A 22,927-nucleotide genomic window follows, 5' to 3' on the forward strand; every position below is an offset into this window, starting at 1 on the left:
CAATAAAAACAAAAATAAACAAATGGGATTATGTTGAACCAAAAGCTTCTGCAAAGGAAACAATCAACAGAGTGAAGAGGCAACCTACAGAATAAGAAAATATATTTGTACACCATATATCTGATAAGGGGTTAATATCCAAAATATATAAGCAACTCAAACAATTCAACAGCAAGAAAACAAATGACGTGATTAAAAAGTAGGAAAAAGACCTCAATAGACATTTCTCAAAAGAAGACATATAAATGGCCAACAAGTATATGAAAAAATGCTCAACGTTACTAATCATTAGGGAAATGCAAATCGAAACCACCATGAGATATCATCTCACCCCTGTTAGAATGGCTATTATCTAAAGATAACAAGCATTGGCAAATATGTGGAGAAAAGAGAACCCTTGCACACCTTTTTGGAGAATGTAAATGAGTATAGTCATTATGGAGAACAGCATGAGGTCCCTGAAAAAATTAAAAGTATGATCCAATAATACTCCTACTGGGTGAACATCCAAAGGAAATGAAATTAGTATGTTAAAGAGACATCTACACTTCCAAGTTTATTGCCGCACTATTCACAATAGCCAAGATATGGAAGCAACTCAAGTGTCCACCAGCAGATAAATGGATTTAAAAAATGTGGCGTATATACATAATATAATACTGTTTAGCCAAAAAAGGGGAAAATTCTGCCATTTGCAATGACATGGATGAGTCTGGAGGACATTGTGTTAAGTGAAATAAGCTAGGTACAGAAAGACAAATACCGCAAGATCTCACTCATGTGGAATCTAAAAAAGCTGACCTCACAGAATAGAGAATAGAATGGTGGTTTCCAGAGGCTGAAGTAATTGGGGGTTGGGGAGATGTTGGTCAAAGAATACATATTTACAGTTAGATAGCAGGAGTAAGTTCCAGTGATCTATTGTATAGCAGGATGACTGTAGTTAATGTACTGTATTCTTAAAAAAATTCTGAGAATGACTTTTAAGTGTTCTCACCACAAAAAAACTAGGTGTGCTAACACATTTGTTAGTTAGCTCGATTGAACCATTCCACAATATTTTATACTTCAGGCATCATATTGTACATGATAAAGACATACATTTTAATATGTCTATTTTTAAAAACAATTTTAAAATTAAATTATTAGGATAATTATCTTTATTTTTAATCTCAATTTAGTAAGTAAATATTTCTTTATGCTTTGACCCTCCTCTGGATGGCATTCTATGGATCAGACTTTTCTTGAGACAATAGAATGCTAAATAACAGTGATCATAAGTAAAACAAACCTTTACACTACTTTGTGTACAGAGGCTCAGTAAACTTAATAATTTACAGAGGCAGTATATCATGCTGTTTAGGAGAGAGAAGGACCTGAATCCAATTTAGAACTTTATGCTAACTAGCTGTGTGAGTTGTTCAACCTATTTTTTAGTTTTCTCATGGAGACAAAAATACCACCTATTTTATAGGGTTGTTGTGAAAATTGAATAGCCTGCAATAAGTGGTAGGCATTTTTATTATTAATTATTCACATATATGGCAATAAGCTGATACTGATTCTTAGAATATAAAGCTAAAAGTAGATGTCAGCAAAGTTATAAAATCCAAGGACAATGTGAGTTGGAAAAGATTATATATAGAAGGGACAAAACTGCCTCATATTTTCCTTAAATGGTCTCATATTTCTCCTTTTTTTCCACTCCCACAGTTAGCTAAATACCTGCCACCTTATACCTCAATCAGATGATTTATAGCTATAATAATTATTTCTAAATTTTATTCATTTGTCTTATCTTATCACCCTAAAATATATTTTTGTTGTATCATTCTCTCTACTGAAAATCCATACATCATTTCCTATCTGACTTTCTGTTGGAGAGCATATTTCTTGGGATAGTAGTAAAAGCTCTCGGGATCAGACTGCAATCTCCAATTATAGTTGTGCTTCTCATGATCTTCCATATAAACACCCTACTTCATTTGGCTTGCAGCTTTAATATGCCAACTGCATTCTTCTCTCAGCCCTACAACAAACATCTAATACCTTATATTGTTCTCTTGCTTGACATTTTTTCCCTTTCCTCTTCCTCTAACAAAATTCTATCCATCTTCTAATACTCATATCTTTTGCATTATTTCCTGATGAACTACATGCTAAAATAATAAAGTGAGTGTGAGCAGGGACTGCGAATATGATAGTCACCTCCTTAGTTAGATTCTATTGTGTGCAAATATTCCTGTGATAATATTATATTAGTTAAGACTCCTTAACAGACTGGCATGAGAGATTTGAAGCAAGAGAAGTGCTTTCCCTACTGGCCTTGAAAAAGTAAATTACCATGTTATAGAGAGGACTATGTGGCAGGAAACCGAGGGTGGCCTCTAGAATGTGAGATCGGCCTCTAGAATGTGAGATCAGCCTCTGGCTGACAGTCAGTAAGAAAGTCCTACAACCACAAGGAATAGAATTCTGCTAACAATCATTGAACTCACAAAAAGACCTTGAGCCTCAGATGATAACAGAGTCCCAGCTGACATCTTGATTTCAGGCTTATAAGACTCTGTGCAGACAACTCAGCTAAAACATACCAAATTCCTGACCCATAGAAGGTGTGAGATAGTAAACTGTGTTGGTTTAAGCCAAAAATTAGTGGTAATTTGGTACACAGCAATAGAAAGCTAATACAGTTGGTAATGAAGCCATCTGGTCTGGGCTTTTCTTTGTTGTGAAGATTTTGATTACTGACTCAATCTTATTATTTGCTATTGGTCTGGTTAAGTTTTCTGTTCCTTCATGATTCAATTTTGGTAGGTTGTATGCAACAAAGAAAACTCTAGGACCAGATGGCTTAGCTGGTGAATTCTACCAAACATTTAAAGAAGAATTAGCACAAGTGCTTCTTAAACTCTTCCCAAAACTGAAGGGAACATCTCAATACTCATTTTATGCAGCAAGCATGATGCTGATACCAAAGTGAGACCAAGACACTATAAGAAAAGAAACTACAGGCCCATATCTCTAAGGCACATGGATGCAAAAATCCTTAACAAAATGCTAGCAACCTGAATTCAACAGCACATTAAAAGGATCAGCAGGACTATGTGGGATTTATCCCTGGGATGCACGGATGGCTTAATATATGCAAATCAATTAATGTAATAAACCATACTAACAGACTGAAGAATAAAAGTCACATTCATATCTTACTAGATGCAGAAAAAACATTTGACAAAATTCAACAGCCTTTCGTGATAAAAACTCTCAACAAATTAGGTATAGAAGGGATTTGCCTCAATACAACAATGGTCATGTATGAAAATCCCCCAATACAACAAAGGCCGTATATGAAAATCCCCCAGCTAACATCACACTCAGTGATGAAAAACTGAAAGATTTCCCTCCAAGATCAGGCACAAGGCTAGGATGCTCATTCTTACTGTTTCCATTCAACATTGTACTGAACTTTAGCCAGAGCAATTAGGCAAGAAAAAGAAATTAAAGTATCCAAATAGGAAGGGAGGAATTAAAATTATGTTGCTGATGACATGATCTTATATGTTGAAAACCCTAAGAACACCACAAAAAAACTGTTAGAACTAATAAACAAATATCGTAAGATTACAAGATACACAATACACATACAAAAATCCATTGTGTTCTATACACTAACAATGAACTATCCAAAAGGGAAATTGAGAAAACAATGCTATTTTCAAGAGTATCAAAAAGAATACAATATTTGGCAATAAACTTAACCAAGGAGGGCCAGGCCCGGTGGCTCATGCCTGTAATCCCAGCACTTTGGGAGGCCGAGGTGGGCGGATCATGAGGTCAGGAGTATGAGACCATCCTGGCTAATATGGTGAAACCCTGTCTCTACTAAAAATATGAAAATGAAAAATTAGCCAGGCATGGTGGCAGGCACCTGTAGTCCCAACTACTGGGGAGGCTGAGGCAGGAGAATGGTGTGAACCTGGGAGGTGGAGTTTGCAGTGAGCCAAGATTGCAGCACGGCACTCCAGCCTGGGGGACAGAGTGAGACTCCATCTCAAAAAAAAAAAAAAAAAAAAAGAAAACTTAACCAAGAAGGTGAAATACTTGAAAACTACAAATCATTGATGAAAGAAATGTAAATAGACACAAATAAATGGAAAGATATTTCATGTTCATGAATTGGAAGACTTAATATTGTTAAAATGTTCATAAACTAAAGTGATCTACAGAATCAGTGCAATTCCTTTCAAAATTCCAATGGCATTTTTTTTTTTTTACAGAAAAAATACCTAAAATTTACATGAAACAACAAAAGACACCAAATAGCCAAAGCAATCTTGAGAAAAAAGAAGAAAGCTGAAAGCATTAGACTTCCTGATTTCAAAATATATTACAAAGCTATAGTAATTAAAATAGTATGTTACTGACACAATTTTTTAACAAGGGTGCCAAGGGTACACAATGGGGAAACAACAAGTGTCTTCAACAAGCGTTGTTGGGAAAGCTAGATATCTACATGCAAAAGAATGAAACTTGACCCTTAACACACATCAAACACAAATATCAATGGAAAAAATTACATATTTAAATGTAAGAACTGAAATAGAATAACTCCTGGGAGAAAACATAGGACAAAATCTTATGACATTGGGCTCAGCAATATTTCTTGGATATGACACCAAAAATCACAAGCAACAAAAGCAAAAAAAGGTAAGTGGCATTATACCAAACTAAAAACCTTCTGCACTGCAAAAGAATCAATGGTCAAAAGGCAACCTACAGAATGGGAGAAAAATATCTGTAAATTATATATCTGATAAGAGGTTAATATCCAAAACAAATAAGGACCTCCTACAACTCAATGTCAAAAAAGCAAATAACCCAATTTTAATAATGGACAAAGGATTTGATGAGAGGTTTCTCTACAGAAGACATACAAATGTCCAACAGATATATATCAAAACACGCAGCATCACTAATCATCAGGGAAATGCAACTCAAAACTATAATAAGATATCACGTCACACCTGTTAGGGTGGCTATTACAAAACAAAAATCAAAAGATAACAAGTATTGGAGAAGATGTTGAGAAATTGGAACTCTTGTACACTGTTGGTAGGAATGTAAAATGGGGTACAGCTGCTATGGAAAATAGGACAGAGATTCCTCAAACAATTAAATTAGAACTACTATGTAATCTAGGAATCATACTTCTGGGTATATATCTAAAAGAATTGAAATGAGAACTTTGAAGAGATATCTGTACCTTCTGATTCACTGCAACAGTATTCATAATAGCCAAGATATGGAAATAACCTAAATGTCCATCAACACACGAATGAATAAAGAAAATGTGGTATACACATACAAAGGAATATTAGTCAGCCTTTAAAAAGAAGGAATCATGTCATATGTGACAGCATGGATAAAGCTGGAGGACATAAGCTCTGTGAAATAAGCCAGTCACAGGAGGACAAGTACTGCCTGATTTCACTTATACAGGGTATCTAAAATAGTTAAACTCATGGAAACAGAGAGTAGAATGGTGTTTGCCAGGGACTGGGAGGGAAAGAAAAATAGGGAGTAGTTGTTCAGCAAGTATATAGTTTCAGTTTTTCAAAGTAAGTTTTAGAGATCTGCTGTACAGCTTGGTGCCTATAGTTTACAATACTGTAGTGTGCGTTTAAAATTTTGTCCAGAGGACAGATCTCATGTTAAATGTTCTCACCACAAACAAACAAACCGAAAACACTAACCTAGTGGGTTATGGAAGGCTCTCCAGGCCATGGTTGTAAGATCTGAAGTTTAGTTCCTGGAAGTACAAAGAGCTAGCCCTTTGACTCTTCTGTATATTTTTCTGTGTGTAACTTGGGGATGATTCCTGTTAAGGAACCATGTGGAGGAGCAGATCAACTAAGAGTATTATGAAATAAAAACTTTATTCTAGGGATCAGACTCCACACAATTGTGAGAGCAGCTAGGAAAGTTCTGGTCCAGAAGGGAGAATTGGAAAATCACTTAAGTCACTAAACATTCCTCCTAAAGCAATGGCAGCAGTGGACCTCTTTTAGTGATAACAAGGACCAGAGAGAACAACTTGTTCTTCATCTTGTATCAATAAAAATTTCCCTGAGACAATAGGTTTAGATTTATAAAAAGCAACATAATTGAAGTATGATTAAATACAATAAAATACACCCATTTTAGTCTACAGTTTGGTGACTTTTGCCAAATATATACACTTGAGTAACTACCACCACAGTCAAGATATAAAACATTTCTATCACCCTAAAAAGTTCTCTTCTTTTCCTTTGCACTTGATAATTCCCCACTCTTGGGCTGAGACAACTGTAGTCTTTCAGTCACTACAAACTATATTTCCCACATTTTAGAATTTCACATTTGTGGAATCATACACTATGCTGTTTTGTAAGTGACTTCTTACACCCATCATGTTTTCAGAATCTTCCTTGTTGCTTTTATCCGTAGTTCACCACTTTTCATTGCTTAGTATTATTATACTGTATGGACCACAAATGTAATATAATTAGTTTGTTAATTTATTAATTTAGTTTATTAATTCAGCATTTGAAATTATTCTAGCAAGGTAACTTTTAAAAATTCCTTGTGATTTCTACATATACCATCATTCAAATACTTTTTACCACTTCCTTTCTAATATTTAAGGCTTTAATTCATTTTTCTTGCCTTTTTGCACTGACTAGAACCTCCAGTACATTTCTGAATAAAAATGGTGTCCAGTTTTACAACTGCTTGTGGTAGAAGGGTAAATCTGGTGTGTATTACTTTGTCATAGGCCCTTGAATTTTTGTAGGATTTATGCCCCATCTTCTAGTATGTATATATCTTACCAAGGTTTCTTGAGTAATTACTGTATTTTACTCAACACATTCAATCAGCATGATATCCTCAGTGTATTTGCACAGCGTTTGTTCTGTGGAATGGAGATACGACCAACGTCCTTTGGATTAAGATTGGATATTGAGAGTTAATATAACCTTGAACAGTGGTAAAATAGTGAATGTCTATTGGTGCTCCTTCAAGTTGAAAGCACAAAGCTTTTGGTGGTTTTTACTAACAGGCTAAATAACAACCACAAAACATTTACTAGATTAATAACCATGCAAGGTACCAGCAGAGATGTGTTGATTTGTTCCAGTAAAAAAACCACATCTGTCATCTGTAAGAGCAACTGTGATTTGACTCACCATCTTATTGAATTTATGATCATACACTGTCACTTTCCAGAATCTGTCTGTCTTATGCTCAGAATTAAAAGGTTATTTGAACAGGGCTGTGTTAGGTATCACCACTTCTCCATCATTTAATTCCTTGATTATGTCATTAATCTCTATAGTCCTTTCAGGACTGTTGTATTACTTTGGGTTTAATATTTTGGTAGGTGGAGGAGATTTGGGGGATTTCCACTTGTTCTTTCTTATCACAATAGTTCTTATTCCATAGGTCAAAAAACCAATATAGGGAGTCTGCCAGTTGTTGAGTATGTATATTTCAATGATACCTTCTGGAATTTGAAAATAAACATGAGATAGTATTGGAGCTCCATTGGTCTATAGTGAGACAGCTCTGGTCCAAAATTACATTGATCACCCAAACTCCATTACTGCCTACTCTGACTGTTGAGCTACAGTGACTTTGAGTCTCAGGAATTAGTGTGAGTTCACAATCAGTGTCCAATAATTTCCACTAAATCTGGTTACTTTCATTTCTTCAATGCACAGTCATGATGATAAATGCCTATAGTCCTTTTGAGAAAGAATAATTACGATATAAATTATTGGCAGTATATCAGGCTGAATGCTGGCTTCTACTAGAGGCATGGAACATCTCCAGGCTATCTTTATCTCTGATGTGTTTATACCTATAGTGATATTTCTATGTACCTCATGGATATGGTTTGAATAACTGTCCCCTCCAAATCTCATGTTGAAATTTCATCCCCATTGTTGGAGGTGGGGCCTAGTAGGAGGTGTTTGGGCAATGGGGGCTGGTCCTTCATGAACAAGTTGGTGCTGCCCTCATAGTAATGAATGAATTCTCACCTTATTAGTTACCAAAATATTTGATTGTTAAAAGGAGCCTTGCACCTCCTCCTGTCTCTCTTGCTTTCTTCCACTTGCCATGTGATACTGGCTCCCCTAAGCCTTCCCCAAAGCCCCCACTGGAAGCAGATGCTGGCATCATGCTTCTTGTACAACCTGCAGAACCATGAACCAAATAAACCCCTTTTCCTTACAAATTATCCTGTCTTAGGTATTCCTTTATATCAACGCAAAACAGATGAATACACCCACCCTAACCAAGCTTCTTTTTCAAGGTGAGAGGGAGTGGTGAAATGCAATTATATGAGTTTGAACTCTTCAATTTTCATCATCATTTCTTCTCATAATCCTGCAAGCTGGATGATACTGGATTTCTACTTTGTTTTCCTCTATAAAATGGACTTTTCTTACATCATATCCATCTATAGGTGGCTTAAGGGAAGAACAACTTTTTCTCCTAGGCTCGGCAACTAGGGTCCTTCAAATTAAACCGACAAATGACAGATTAACAGAAGAGTTGATTATGTCTATACAGAGGCCTTCATGGAAAAGAGGTAAAGACTCAAAGAAGGGGTTAGACCAATGAGTTTATATGTCATTTTAACAAATCAATACATTCTGGAGAAGAAACCAGACAAAGGAAGGGAGAGGGTTTGGCTTCTAGGGCCAGTAAATTGTGGAAAGGTAAATACATGGGGAGAAAGAGTGGAAGATAAGGGTTGTTCAGTAGGGTTTGTTATGCATACTCTACGTACTCAAACTGGTGCCTTCTCCACTGATGTGAGTCCTCTTCCTCTTCCTGGTATGGGAGAGGGAGACACTTTTATAAATGAAAATTTGTCCCCTGCTTTTATACTGAAAGGGGAGGGTTGAAAGCTTTTCCTGCATCAGTTTTTCTCAACTAACTCCAGCTCAGAATAATCCTTATACCAAAGTGGCGTATTTCAAAGAAGCACCCTTTAATCCCCTTCAGTAGCATCTATCATTCTCCTCTTCCTAATACATAAAGATTGATGGGAAACTATGCTGATAAGCTTACTTAATAGGAAAGAAACAAAAATATTATTCTATTACAGCTTTATTAAGGCATTTATTATGCTTTATTTTGATTTTACAAGTTCACAATTCACAAGTTCTTAAGAGCAAGGACTTGTTATTTCATCCTAGTATCTACACCTATTGTAATTTTGTCACACAATAGACACGAATTAAATTTTGTTGATTGCAGACCATGAATGCATGAGTGCAATTGTAAACTAGTGTTACTGTCAGTAAAAAGCCTGAGTTCTAATTGTAAAATTATGCTGATTCTCCTGGGTTGGTAGTGACTTTGAGCCATTGAGTTTTAACGTTTTTTTCTAAGGAACTAACCATTTCAGGAATCCTTCAATATGGGCTAAGAAAAAAAGTCTTGATACACTGAAACTAATTATGTGAAGAAAGAGTTGCCAGAGTTATTAAAACAGAAGTAGCCTGACATCCCCAGCTTTTGAGAAACAGAACTTGGAGTTAACACTAATAGTTTTAATGATTCCATGTTTGAAGTCTGAAGTTCTGTGAATGATTCACCTTAAGCATATTTAAATTTATTAACCCCTTTGCTTCTGGCAATTTATTTTTGGAAACGTCTTCCTTATGATTCAGTTGAGGAGTCTGGGAAGCAAGTATACAGCCAGGGCAGAGTTGCAGAATCCCAAGGGAAATGAATGTAAGAAAGAACTGAGTTCCTCTCCTGTGCCTGTTTCCCACTCATCCTACACATCTTCTTCTGTGGGTGGATCAATTCCTACTGAAAAAAGGATCTACAAAGTTGCTCTTTTCAGGAAAAAGAAAAGGAAGTAGGAGGAGTATGGTAAGGAATATGGTAGGGCCAGGCATAGCTTGCCTTTGCACAACTGCAAAATGTCTACCAATTGGAATATAGCATGTCCTTTCTTCATTTTAACTTAATCAGAGACAGAGGGATGAGGCACTAGCAGGAACAAGCTCCAAGTTTCCCTCTTTTTATCCTACTTCAGTTTTTCCTTTGTTGTACCTTACCTCAGATTTTTTTTAACACTTCCTCTGCTTCAGAGTGTTCAGTTCTTAAGCTTCTATGATAGCAGAAAACAAGTGTGTCTTATTCACCATTTATTCCCACAGCCTTGTTAACATAAATAAAATATTAATGTACTTATTCAGTTCAAACTTTTACATGAAATATACATACGTACATTTTTTTTAAAAAAGGCAAGCAGTACAGAAGAGCATAACATGCAAGATATTTTATCCATCCTTCCTTAACCCCCTCCTGATTTCCATGTGCTCCCAAAACCACCTTAAACAATTCCTGTTTTTAAGACAGGAAACAGTGCCTCATGCTTATAATCCCAACACTTTGGGAGGTTGAGACAGAAGGATCACTTGAGGCCAGGAGTTCGAGGCTGCAGTGAACCATGATCGCACCACCGTGCTCCAGTCTGGGCAACAGAGGGAGAAAAACAAAAAAACAAAACCCCCCAGCAATTTCTGTTTTTAGTCATTCTAGTCATTGTTTTCATTTTCACTGATTTGTCAGTTTTATACAATATCGTTGACTCTGCAATATAAAAGATGAAAAATGTACTTCACTTATAGCATCTCTCAACTCTTTCTTCCAGGTCCCAATTTTTATAGTTATGTCACTGTATTAGTTTGCTCTCACACTGGTATAAGGAACTGCCTGAGACTGGGTAATTTATAAAGGAAAGAGGTTTAATTGGCTCACAGTTCTGCATGGCTGGGGAGTCCTCAGGAAACTTATAGTCATGGTGCAAGGTGAGGAGAAAGCAAGGCATATCTTACCTGGTGGCAGGAGAGAGAAAGGGGGGAACTGACAAACACTTTTAAACCATCAGATCTTGTGAGAACTCACTCACCATCAGGAGAACAGCATGGGGAAAACCACCTCATGATCCAATCACCTCCCACCAGGTGTGGGAATTACAATTCAAGATGAGATTTGGGTGGGGACACAAAGCCAAACCGTATCAGTCACTATTTTTACACAATAAATGATGGTTGAATGAGTAAGTACACATTCCAGTTTTCCCTCTCATTTCTTTACCCGAACAATGGTACCCTGGTTTATAAACTACTGGAAGCCAGCCGTCCCTCTGCCCAAAAATGAAAGAGCTTTCGATGCTGAGCCATTTAGTTTTCTGTTAGTAAATCCCTCCAACACACTCAGTGATCTCTTTATTAATTAAAACATTATCCTTCTCAGAAACATCTGAATTTTAACAGTTCTCAAAGCCATTAACTGAAGGAAGAAGTCCTGATGCTGGAACTTTGAAACATTGAGGCTTGCTCTTTAAATCCTCCAGGATGTCCTGTAGCTTCTTAGTGAGCTGCTGATTTGGGCTGGGCAAGACTAAGACAGTGGAACTTATGCTTAGTGACTAGGGATCATCAGCTGTTTTTATTATGTCTGTCTTCTGAGGCTTTCTCTTTGGCTGTTGTTGGATGTATCAAAACAAAACATCTCCAGGAAAAAATATCAAAGGACCTAAAATTAATGTGTTATTTCAGTTTTCTTCTAAGCCAGCAAAAGAAAGTCCCTCTCTGACTAACGTCTGATAATACAAACCTCCCAGGCCAGCCCCTTTAACGTGCTGATTTAGGGCTCATGCCCGTTTTCCTCTCTCCTCATTTCATCTTCGTCTCTCTGATGCAATCAGCATGCTGGCCTTAGGCTCACCTCGGTTTTGTTTTATTTTTTAAGGGTGAAAGAAAAAAACTTTGGTTTCTCAAGTGGATATAAAATTAAACTCTTCTCCCCTTTTACAGCAGATTCTCTAAATCTTAGACTTTAAAAGTTTTGATTTAAATCCTGCCTTAGAGTGAGTCACAGAAAAAGAAATTCTCATCAGTTATCTACTTCGGTAGCACTGTTTGGTACTCATCTGTGGGGTCCTAGGAAAAGCATTCAACTCAGATTGAAAAATCTTGCTTGAGTCCTTGATGTACTATCTGCTTGCTGTGTGACTACGGGTAAGTCATCACAACTCTCTGAGCCAAGTTATCTCAACTAAAAATTGAAGATAGTAACACAGTACTTAGCTCACAGGGCTGTTGTATTGGTGCATTTAAGTCAATAAACTTAACTCAGCTCAAACTTAACATGTCTAAAATCAAATTTTTGATCTTGTTTTCCAATCCTGCTTCACCTCCAGTCTTTCCTATCTCAGTTGATTGCAACTCCAATCTTTCAGTTCCTCATGTAATGCTTCACATGGTCTTCCTCTCTCACACCAGATCCATCACCTCTCACTAGATTGCTGCAGTGGCCACCTAACTGGTCTCCATATTTTCACCCTTGCCTCTCTAGAGTCTATTCTCAATACTTCAGGCAGATCAAACCCAATCACATTACTCCTCCATGCAGGCTCAGCCTTGGTTTCTTGTTAGAGCTGATATCAAACTGGCTCACACTGAAACTAGGGTGTGAGTAGTGAAATCCCTTTGTCTCCTTTGGTAAATATCTTTTCCCAGTTTCCTTCCATTGAAATTTCCCTAAAATCCATCAGGGGGTGACTCCGCTATTCACTAACTCAAGCAGTAATGCTTGGCACTTCAGGGGGCCTCTAGGATGCTGCTTCTGAGTGTCCGTCTGATTAGCTCTTTTAGCTTCTATAGCTATCTACTCAAGGGTCACCTTTTCAACAAGGCACTTTCTGACTGCCTTATTTACAATGGAAACTCTTCCCTATTCCCCACTGGGAATCATTGCCCTCCATTGCAGTATCTCCATCTGACAGACTGTAGACTTCACCTGTGTGTTCGTCTATTGTCTGTCTCCCTTCTCTGCATCAACTAGAATACAAGTGACCTGAGAAGGAAATTTGTCTGTTCTGTTTACTCTTTTACCCCTAGTGCCTAGAACAGAGGTCCATAGCAAGCCCTCAATAAATATTAGTTGGATGAGTGAACTACTCACTGCCCAGTTTTCCCATTTGAATAATAAAAAAAACTACACCCCAGATAAATTGTGGAAATTAAATCATTGATGTGAAAGCACCTTGTGAGATATAAGTCCCTTAATAAAGATCAGTTGTCATCAGCCTCCCCTCATTGATAAACATTTGTGGACCACAGGCACCATTCTCCAACACTACTGCCAAGATAGTCTCCATGTTTGAAGGGACTCTCTGAATATTCTGTCCTGGTGTCCTGGGTGCTATAGGTCTGAGTGGCCCATGATACTGCTTGTGCCCTGAATCCTGAGTGGATCACAGAGACTTCTTAAGGTAACCAGGACAAGGAGTGTGGGTCAGTAGTCATGAGGAGTGTGTGATGCATTCTTGCTATCCCTTCAGTGCTTCTTCTGTGGGCATGTACATGGGCAGAGCTGGCATCAGCATTCATTTGTGCTGCAGTACTTGCATCAATAAGCCATTTAAATGGGAAGACACCACAAAAGAGGAAGAAGTAGACACCTGCTTTATTCTCCGTGTCTGGGAAGCAAAGTCCAACAGTAATGATAGGTTCAGCATATGGTAATGTCTACATAACTTCACAAGGATGTTTTTAAAATTTAAAGATTTGCTCTAGGAGATCATCTGGAGACATGGCTAAGTAAGGGTCACAGGAAAGGCAAGAAAAAACATGCAGTGAGCTTTGGAGAAAAAAATACAAGCCTACTGAATCCCCATACAACAGTTCCCACTGAACTTGGTGATCAATTCTCACTTCTTAACAAACAAACACAGAGTGAAGTGTACTATATATTTGGAGCCTAGACTGTAGCCCTTGCCGTCAAGTTAAAGCTACTCAAGATCTTTGAACACATGTCATCCATCCCACTGAAGGCGGGCGCCTTCCTCCTCTGGTGCCTCACACCCTGTACCTCACTACCTTGTACACTTGTTTATTTGAGATGGGCATTCTTTAGCCAGTAATAAGATGAATGGTTGATGCTACAAGGATAGGAGTGTTTAGATTTGCACAGTGATACATAGCTTTAAGTTAGTGGAAAATAATTTTGGCAAGCAGATCCGTCTCCATGTCATAAAAATATTTCTCTCTAGTATTTTGTTCTGACAGCTCAAGCAAATATAATATGAGAATACTACCTGTGGCTTGTCTTTTTTTTTCTTTCGGTTTCTAATGCTGAATTTATAATCTTCTGTAACTTCGTGTGACCACACATATTCAAAATTCCTGTATCAATTTGACTCACTGCCACATTTCCTTCTGTGGGGAAGAGGAAACTACAGACCTCAAATGGCTTTTACATTGCCGGCATGACAAGTTCCCTGTACATATGGAATAGCAGATGCCTCCTTTCAAGGCTGCTCTTGACATTGTGGTTGTTAATGATTCTTCCACTTGGGAATATTTCCGTTCTGTACCAAAAACCTATCTAAGGGGCAAAGGAAAGTGGTGAAAACGGGCACAATACAGATGCCAGCAAGTTTCCCAGTTGGTCATGATCAACACATCATTCCAGAAGGAATAACTGCGGGGGGGCGGGGGGATTAGGGAGGGGAATAAAAACAAATTTTGGCAGACCCAAGCTTAGAAGAAAAACAATACTTTCACCGAATTTAGCCTCTGCTCTCTGTCATAGAAAATTATAATAAGTACACGAGAATTGCATTCAATTTTGGTCAAGTATTATTCTTGGAATATGCATTAGTCAGAATTGGCCTCATTAGAAGGGCACTTTTTGAACAGCAGTGTAGTGGTTCACAAGGCATGTAGACTCCTGAGAGGGTGTGATGCGGGTTTAAGAAGCTTATTTCATGTCCAATATCATTTACATTTCAAACTAGGACTCAAACCAGGGCTTATATTGAAACTTCAAATGACAAGAGGTAGAGCAAAATACATTCATCTATAAACATGCAATAATGTTATCAGAATTGCCGCAACCCATTAATTATAAACATAAGCCTAGCTATTGACACTATGGCTCAGGCACTGGGCTTTTTTTCCCTGCTTCTGATAAGTCAGCATTTCCATTGAACCTATGCATGCCTTAAAATTCTCATACCAGTCTACACTGAGGCATGTGTTTTTATTTTGCTTTCTATTTATAATCTTTATTTTGAAAACAACAATTGTGGTTTGGATTTACCATGAGGAGGCTGAATTTTACACATGCAAAGACTCATTTTTTTTGTAGACTTCATTTTTAGCTATATTATCTGATTTGCTATCATCCCAGGAGTATAAAGTATATACAGTATACATTACCAAACACATTTAACGGATGAGGAAAATGAAGGTAGAAGAAAAGTAGCTTGACCAAACGAACAGTAAAGCTTTAGGGGTATTTCACTGAGTTAGAACTGGTCAAAGGACTAGATTGGGAGAGACGTAGAAGAAAATCTTACCTACATTTTACCCAGGGCAGAAAGACTAAGCAATTAAACCTTGATGGGTTCTGTATCTTCATTCTTAATAGCAATTCCAAAATTTGGTAATCCAGAGTAAAGAAGCCAAAAACTCAGAAGATATTAAATCTATTTACCTGTGTTCTAGGGGAGGATTCAAGCCCTCACATCAGAGCAAAGGTATTTCCAGCTGATTTGGGCTTTCCCCTTAAAATGTATCTGTTGTCCTTCTATGATACAGACAAGCACATGTTTATTCTAGGTGCTGTCAAGACTGTTTATGTCTTCAAGACTGGTGCTGACTCCAACTCTAGCACCGAGGTACTTTTTTTTGATGACTACTTACAGGAAAAGATTGACCTAGTGGGACCCACCGAAGCTTTTATCCAGATTTGAGGAGTGTATATTTGAAGGAGCTGCACTCTCTGAGGTAGCAGAGAGAGTATCAGTGAAGCTTGGGCACTTAACTTGTCCTGTCTTCCAAATGAGTGTTTCTCACAGGATTCTAGTTTTCTGCTTCTGACTTAAGCCAGAAAGTACACAGGTGTGTTTAACTCAGTACTAAAGTTAAAATCTATGAACTTTTTCAGACCTCACATGTTCAGGTTTGATTTTATTGTGGCAACTAGGTTTTAGGCAGGTTCTTATTTCTTTTGAACCAGGTTATCTAGCCCCTATTTTTCCATCAAAGAATCTCAGTTAACTTTGATTTTTAATTCTCAGACACCCTACTCACTGAATCACCCACCCCGCCTTCATACCCTGCTATTTTATTCCATATAAGGCCTTGAAATGTACTCACCTTACTCAGTGAAAATCCCTCTGGGGTGAGGAGCTGCCAGAGCATTAGAAATGTGATCTAAAGTAGCTAAGCTTGAGACTGGTCACGTCCAGGTTGGAAGGTATCAGGTATAAAATGAGAAAAAAAATTTTATCTCACAGCACTTATCAGACCATCTTCTTATAAGACTTTTCTTTAGTTTTTAGTTCATTTCTTGGTTTTTCTGGAAAAATGCTGCAGTTATGTTGCTCATGCAGCCAAAAATCTGCACTTAATTGGGCACATAAAAAAATAGCAGACAGGAAGTCTATTTCCTCACAGAGAGATATTGTGGTTTATGGACGCTGCTTTCATACTGCAAAGCCAGTGCATTATTTTATTTTTTAGTACACTCCTGGTAAGATGTCCCTGGCAACCAGAGAGCTATAAGTGCCCACCAGAATCAGTATCAGCACAGGTAGAGTTACTCAATTACAAAATATTAGTTTAATATTGGTTTGATTTTTGAATCAACCTTAAGTTTCTGAATTTTTCTAGGTGCTAGAGAAATAGAGAATTTAATATTTATGTACGCACTGAAAAGGAATATATATATATATACATAGGCATCTGCTATTCCATATGTACAGGGAACTTGTCATGCCGGCAATGTAAAAGCCATTTGAGGTCTGTAGCTTCCTCTTCCCCACAGAAGGAAATGTGGCAGTGAGTCAAATTGATACAGGAATTTTAAATATGTGAGGTCACACAAAGTTAGAGAACATTATAAATATATATATATATTCTCTAGAGAGACTGCATCGCACAAATCGAAGTGCATGGACTATCCATGGGTTCTGGGAAAACATTTAAGTTGCCTGTGTGACTTCCCCTGCACACACCCTCATTCCTCTCCCCTTGGGAACCAGACAGTTTCCTGAAGACTATCAAATTACAAAGAGGAAGGAAGCGCTCATCTGCAGATTGGCGATGCTTACTTTTCCAGTTGTCTTTCAATCTCTATTCTTCACATTCTTTGTTTTCATGTTCAAATCTCCCATATTTGAGTGATAATAATTAAATTCCCAAGAATTCAAACAGATTTTTAGAGTCCAGCTTACTATTTATAAATGAGGAAAGTAAGACAAAAAGTAATTCAGTTGTTTTTTTTTTTTTTCCTAATGACATGGAACTTGAGCAGCAGAAACAGGACCGAAACCTGGCTCTTCCCTTATGCCACACTGCCTTTCTATGTGAGTGGAAAAATAAAAATGAAATTGCTCTTCTCTTGTCACTTGCTTTGAGTGACTGGTACATTTGGTTTTGTCTAATGTACCCTTTCTATCTGCCTGTCTTGGGCACAGTGCCTCATAATTTGGAAAAACATATAAGCCCCACATTTTTTTCTAAGGCATGTGAGAAACTGCCATTCGTTTTAAGCAACCTAGTGTCATAAAGTTAGTGTGGGCCTAATACCACTTAAAAGTTAAATGAGGGCTTTTGTGTAATTGTTTTGCCTTCTAATTCAAACTAAGCCACAGGTAATCAAGTCTTTTCCTAATACCCCAGGCTTTGTAGAAACTAAAACCTATCCGGTTTGTACAGGTATCACCAGCCTCAAACTGGAATTGTCTAATGCTCTGGTCAACTCAACCCATGGAGGGGGTTTACATCATCTAGTGTTTTTGCATAGTCCTTTGTCTGGGACTAATTCTGACACTTTGCCTGCCAGGGAAGATAAAAGTTAACAGCCTTTCTCCAGACTCTGTGATGGGAACTTGATCAAGGAGAATCAGAGGGTTTAGACTCAGTCTCAGTTTCTCCAACTTGTCTCTGGTTCTTTGGCGCAGTCTTCAAAGTAATAAACCTAACGGGAAACGAACTATTGCATATGGTCACGGCTGGCTGTATGTTGATTTGAAACACAATTCCTATCCTTTCATTATTATCTAGGGGAATCATATGTGGGGCTGAATATCTCTGCCAGCTGATTTGGGAATTTGGGAGTGGGGAGTGGAATGGGCACTTTCTTATTCTACAAGAATGACTGTTCTAGATTTTCTTGGTGCTGGCTTGGCATCAACTACCTCACACAGAAAGGGAAAAAATAATAATTATTATCATTTATTATCAAGTTACTACTCAATATCAGGGCTGGTTCCAGAATCTTCATCTATATTATCTAATCCTTCAAATCACTGTACAAGGTATGTTTTATTATCCTTTTTTTATAGATAAAGGGAGAGTCAAGTTCTTTCTATCACTCTCAGTCTAAAGTCCAAATCTCTTAACAGGAAGAGGCAGGAAAGTGTCATAGTTAAGAGTACAAACCCTACAGCTAGGCTGCCTGGCGTTAAATATCCGAACTGCCATTAGTAGTTATGCTAACTTAGGCGAGTTACTTAGGTTTTCTATGCTTCAGTTTCTGCATCTGTAAAATGGGGACCCAACTTTATATGATTGTTAGATGGTTAACCATTTAATAAATTTAAAGTGTGTAGAGCACTGCCCAGCACACTGTTTTAAAGTTAGCTAATATTCTTATTATTACAATTATTATTATTACTATTATTAGCAACAGAATGTTGAATGAGACTTATCTCAGATTTCAGCTAAAGCCTCAAAGTTGGGACCACTAGATGCTAAGATACCCCCACATTTTAAAGAAATTCTGCAGGACTTCCTGAAATGTAGCTCAGTGGTCCTGATTCCATCCCCCACATTACCACTTATATAGGGAAAAGATTAGACATTCAAGAATCTTTTGAAACAGAGAATGCATAGGACTAGTACATTTTCAGTAAGCAGTGCTGTGGTAAGTAGTGCTGTAGCATTTCTCCAAGACAAGTAAGAGGTCCTAAACACCACGAGTCCCCTGGAAGAAGAGACTGGGGCCTCATCCTGGAGGCTTGCTATGCTAGAACATCTGCAAGCTGCTCCACTGTTGCCCCTTAGGCAGAGTGTGGGAAGAGAATTCTGGGAAGTCTGGAGCCTGACAAACAGAAAGATTCATGCTTGCCTCTTACCAGGTAGATTCTTACAGAGCAGCCCTTTATAGTGCAGTGAGGAAAGAGAACTAGAATGGCCCAGCTTGCATATATACATATATAAAATACGTTTATATGTCTATGTATATATGTGTGTGTATATATTCATATACATTCATAAAAGTTATAAAGTAAAATAAGTCTTTTCGTTACTGAATGTATCTTAGTTCCCTGCCCAGCACGATTACTTCCCTGGGCCTTGTAGCTTAAGGTGCTGGGCAGGGCCAAAGGAGACATGTTTCTGGGCAAGAAAGCACAGAAGAACTCCATTCTAAAGTTGTGAGTGTGACCTCTGCAGCACAGGTGGCTATGTGGACAGCCTATATGGACAGCCTCAAGAGAGGACATCTTTTATGTGGAGGCTTAGTGAAAGGAAACAGACATTGTTGAAGAGTGGGGCTAAAAGAGCGATAATTATTGGCAAGCTCAGGCTGAGAGCTGACACATGCTTGTGGGCCTAAGGACGGCTTGGAAGACTGGCTCTACGACCAGGAGCTGAGTGGCTGTGGCTAGGAGTGAGCATATCACCCACAGGCACTATTTTGACAGAAGAGTGGACTGTAATTTAATACCCTTCCCAGTGTGGGGCAGAAAAGTGGAAGAGAGTCTCCACTATGAAAGAATCCTTCCTCTGGGAATCTAAGTGACACTGAGGTCCTTATAAAAATCAGAACTCTTAGTCTTAACATCTATATCAAGACCAGAGCCTTGGCTGTGATTACCCACACATGGAACTGAGCAGAAACAAATGGCCTGGAAGGCATTCTTCTAGTTATAAAGGAATTGTATTGCCAAAGAAGCCAGAAAACTGGCTGGCTAAAACCTGTGACAAACCAACCCAACTCCTGAATCCATAAATCGACATCAGCAAGAAGCAGTGTGTGAAAGCTGTGGTAGCCCCAAGAAGGAATACCATCCAAAGTCCGCTTTAGATGTGGCCATCGAAGACAATGGACAACAAATCCTCCCAGAGAGCTGAAGCCACGGTTCCCAAATGGGCTGACTGAAGGATTCATACCACCAGCAGGGTAGGAAGTTTCCACAATTCCTTTCCAACAGGACTTGATAAATCTTATAGATCGATGACAGCTGTGTTTCTCATTTTCCCTCTTCTAACAGAAGTTTTTACTTTTGTCATCTTGCTCCTGTCCTTCATTTTATATTGGGTGGATTACTTGTCTGTTAGTTTATAGCCACCATATCCCAAAGAGCCACATTGAGACCTAATGTAGAGAGTTAATCTCACCCAGAGAACCTTGATCTAGATGCAGGAACTGGAAGAGGCTTTGGGATCACATTCCTTGGGAGGCGAACGAGGGTTTCTCTGGAGAATTTGGCAAAACTTCATAAAAGGGATGGAACGTGGCTGAGACTATTAGCTGTCCTTCAAGATTTGTTTTTTTTGCATCTTCTCGATTTTAGGTGGGTACAAGGGCCCTCAGAATAAAAATATTTTGCCAGGCTCCCTTGTAGATGGGGTGGCTATGTGAACATAATAGGCTATGCCCAGAAGTGAAGAAAATAATTTCATATTCACTTCCCTCTTAATGGAGGGGGTATGTTCTTCCTCCTTCCTCCAATCTATTGCTTGGAATTTGGGCGTGGTGAGGAGCCATCCAGGACCATGAAGACAGAGAATACCCTGGAGTGGTGGAGCTATAAGACAGAAGCATCTGAGAACCTAGACTTTTGCAGAGCCCTGGATGGCCCACCTCTGGACTGTTACATGAGAAAGAATTTTCTATCTCCTTTCCGCAAAAGCTCTTTTGGGTCTCTGTTACACACAGCCAAATTTTTATATTTGAATTCATTTGCCTTTAATACAGTCTTTAATATATGCTGTCAGGGAGTTTATAATCCAGATCCTTCTTTTAATTCCTAAACATTAATATCAGTTCCTTATATATTTTTGGGCTGAACAACACAGAGCTAAAAACTTTATGAGCTCAGGGAACTTGCTTGTTTTGTTCACAGCTGTGTTCTTGGTACCCAGTAGGTTTTCAGTCTTTATTCCTTTGCTCTATGCTAGTAACCGGTCATTTAATTAACCAATTTAGAAACGTTTATTAAGTACCCAGTATATGTATGACTCTGGGCTGAGACACATAGATGCTAGAAATAATAGTAACTAGTGTTTCTTTCTTTCTTTGTTTCTTTGTTTGTTTCTTTTTCTTTCTCTCTCCCTCTCTTTCTCTTTTTCTTTCTTTTTTCTTTATTTCTTTCTCTTTTTCTCTCCTCTCTCTTTTTCTTTCTTTCTCTCTCTCTTTCTTTCCTTCTTTCTTTCTTTCTGTCTTTCCTCCCCTTCCCTCCCTTCCCCTCCCCTCCCTCCCTCTTTCCCTCCCTCCCTCCCTCCCTCCCTCCCTCCCTCCCTCCCTTCCTTCCTTCCTTCCTTCCTTCCTTCCTTCCTTCCTTCCTTCCTTCCTTCTTTCCTTCTTAGAGACAAAGTCTCACTCTTTCATTGTCCAGGCTGGAGTGCAAAGGAATGAACATGCAGCCTCCAACTCCAGGGCTCAAGCAATCCTCCTAAGTATCTGGGACTACAAACACACCACTCCTGGCTATAATTAGCATTTATTGAACACTTATTGATTACTAGGTATTATTCCAAGTGTTTTACATGTGCAGCACTTAATCCTTACCATAAACGTATGAAACCAGTTCTATTACCATCCCCATTGAACACAGGGAGAAACTGAGGTACTCAGAAGTTATCTGACTTTCCTAAACTCACACTGCTAATAAAGGGAGTTTCTGGGACTAGAATTCTGGCAGTTAGCCCCACATTTTCTGTTCCTAAGGACAGCACTCTACTGCCTTTCCAAAGGATATGGGGTATTATTCTCTTTGTTAAACAACTAATTTAATTTCAAAATACCGTAGTCTCTCCAATGCATGTTCTGGAAAATGAATGTTCATATTTTAATATTACAAAGGCCATTTTAGACAGAAAGTGTTATGCATTTGGCTAAAATAGCAATTATTTCGTCAGATAGTAAGATAATTTCCAAAAACACCAATTTTAATGCAATGGAATTAACTTTCTAATACACAGTTATTTTCTAACTTTACAAACTAGACAATTTAATTTCCTGGTCATTAAACAAAGAAAATTTTAGCATCTTTACTGATTATTTAATAACAATTTTGGGAAAAATAGAACAGCACATTTTTCTTTGTAATTACTACTTATATAAACTAAGCAAAGAACTGTCTTATTTGAAAATGATTGTCTAAAATGATATAAAAAGGTATGTACAAAATAATTGCTTTTCTTCAAAAACTAAAAATGATTTTTTTAAAAGATAAATGTAGTTACTCAAAGTACAATTCTCACATGAAATTCTTGACTGCTAAATTCAAAACAGCTTAAAAGCTAGATGGAATAAAAGAGAAATGGAAGACAGATTGCTTATATTCAGAATGCTTAAAACCAATTGGACAATTTCTGTGGTATAAATGCTCCCTCCCACCATAGCCAATTTCAAACTATGAAGATGAGGTGATTGAATGTAGAGACGTGTCACAGTCTGATCTGCAGAGCTCATAGGAGCAGGCCCAGCACACCACTGGCTCCCAAGTCAGCCAATCACATTCCAGATACCAACACATTTCAAGTGCCTTCTCTGTGTCTTGGGTTGTTCTGGACACTTTGGCAGGCACTACAATACAAATAGAATG

At 38.0% G+C, this 22,927-nt stretch overlaps 1 long non-coding RNA gene across 2 annotated transcripts in view; it reads right to left on the reverse strand.

The window, feature by feature from the left end:
* Positions 1 to 22,927, reverse strand: part of LOC105369710 (uncharacterized) — a 66,878-nt gene that overhangs the window by 9,837 nt on the left and 34,114 nt on the right. Inside the window, exon 3 of one of the 2 annotated variants that reach the window (XR_931462.3) lies at positions 5,441 to 16,322. The exons of the other annotated variant lie outside the window; for it this stretch is intronic. This is a non-coding gene — a long non-coding RNA (uncharacterized LOC105369710). Of the gene's footprint in view, positions 1 to 5,440; positions 16,323 to 22,927 lie in introns of those variants that run through there. 2 annotated transcript variants of the gene reach the window in all.

This window comes from Homo sapiens, chromosome 12 (genome assembly GCF_000001405.40).
Source record: "Homo sapiens chromosome 12, GRCh38.p14 Primary Assembly".
NCBI lineage: Eukaryota > Metazoa > Chordata > Mammalia > Primates > Hominidae > Homo > Homo sapiens.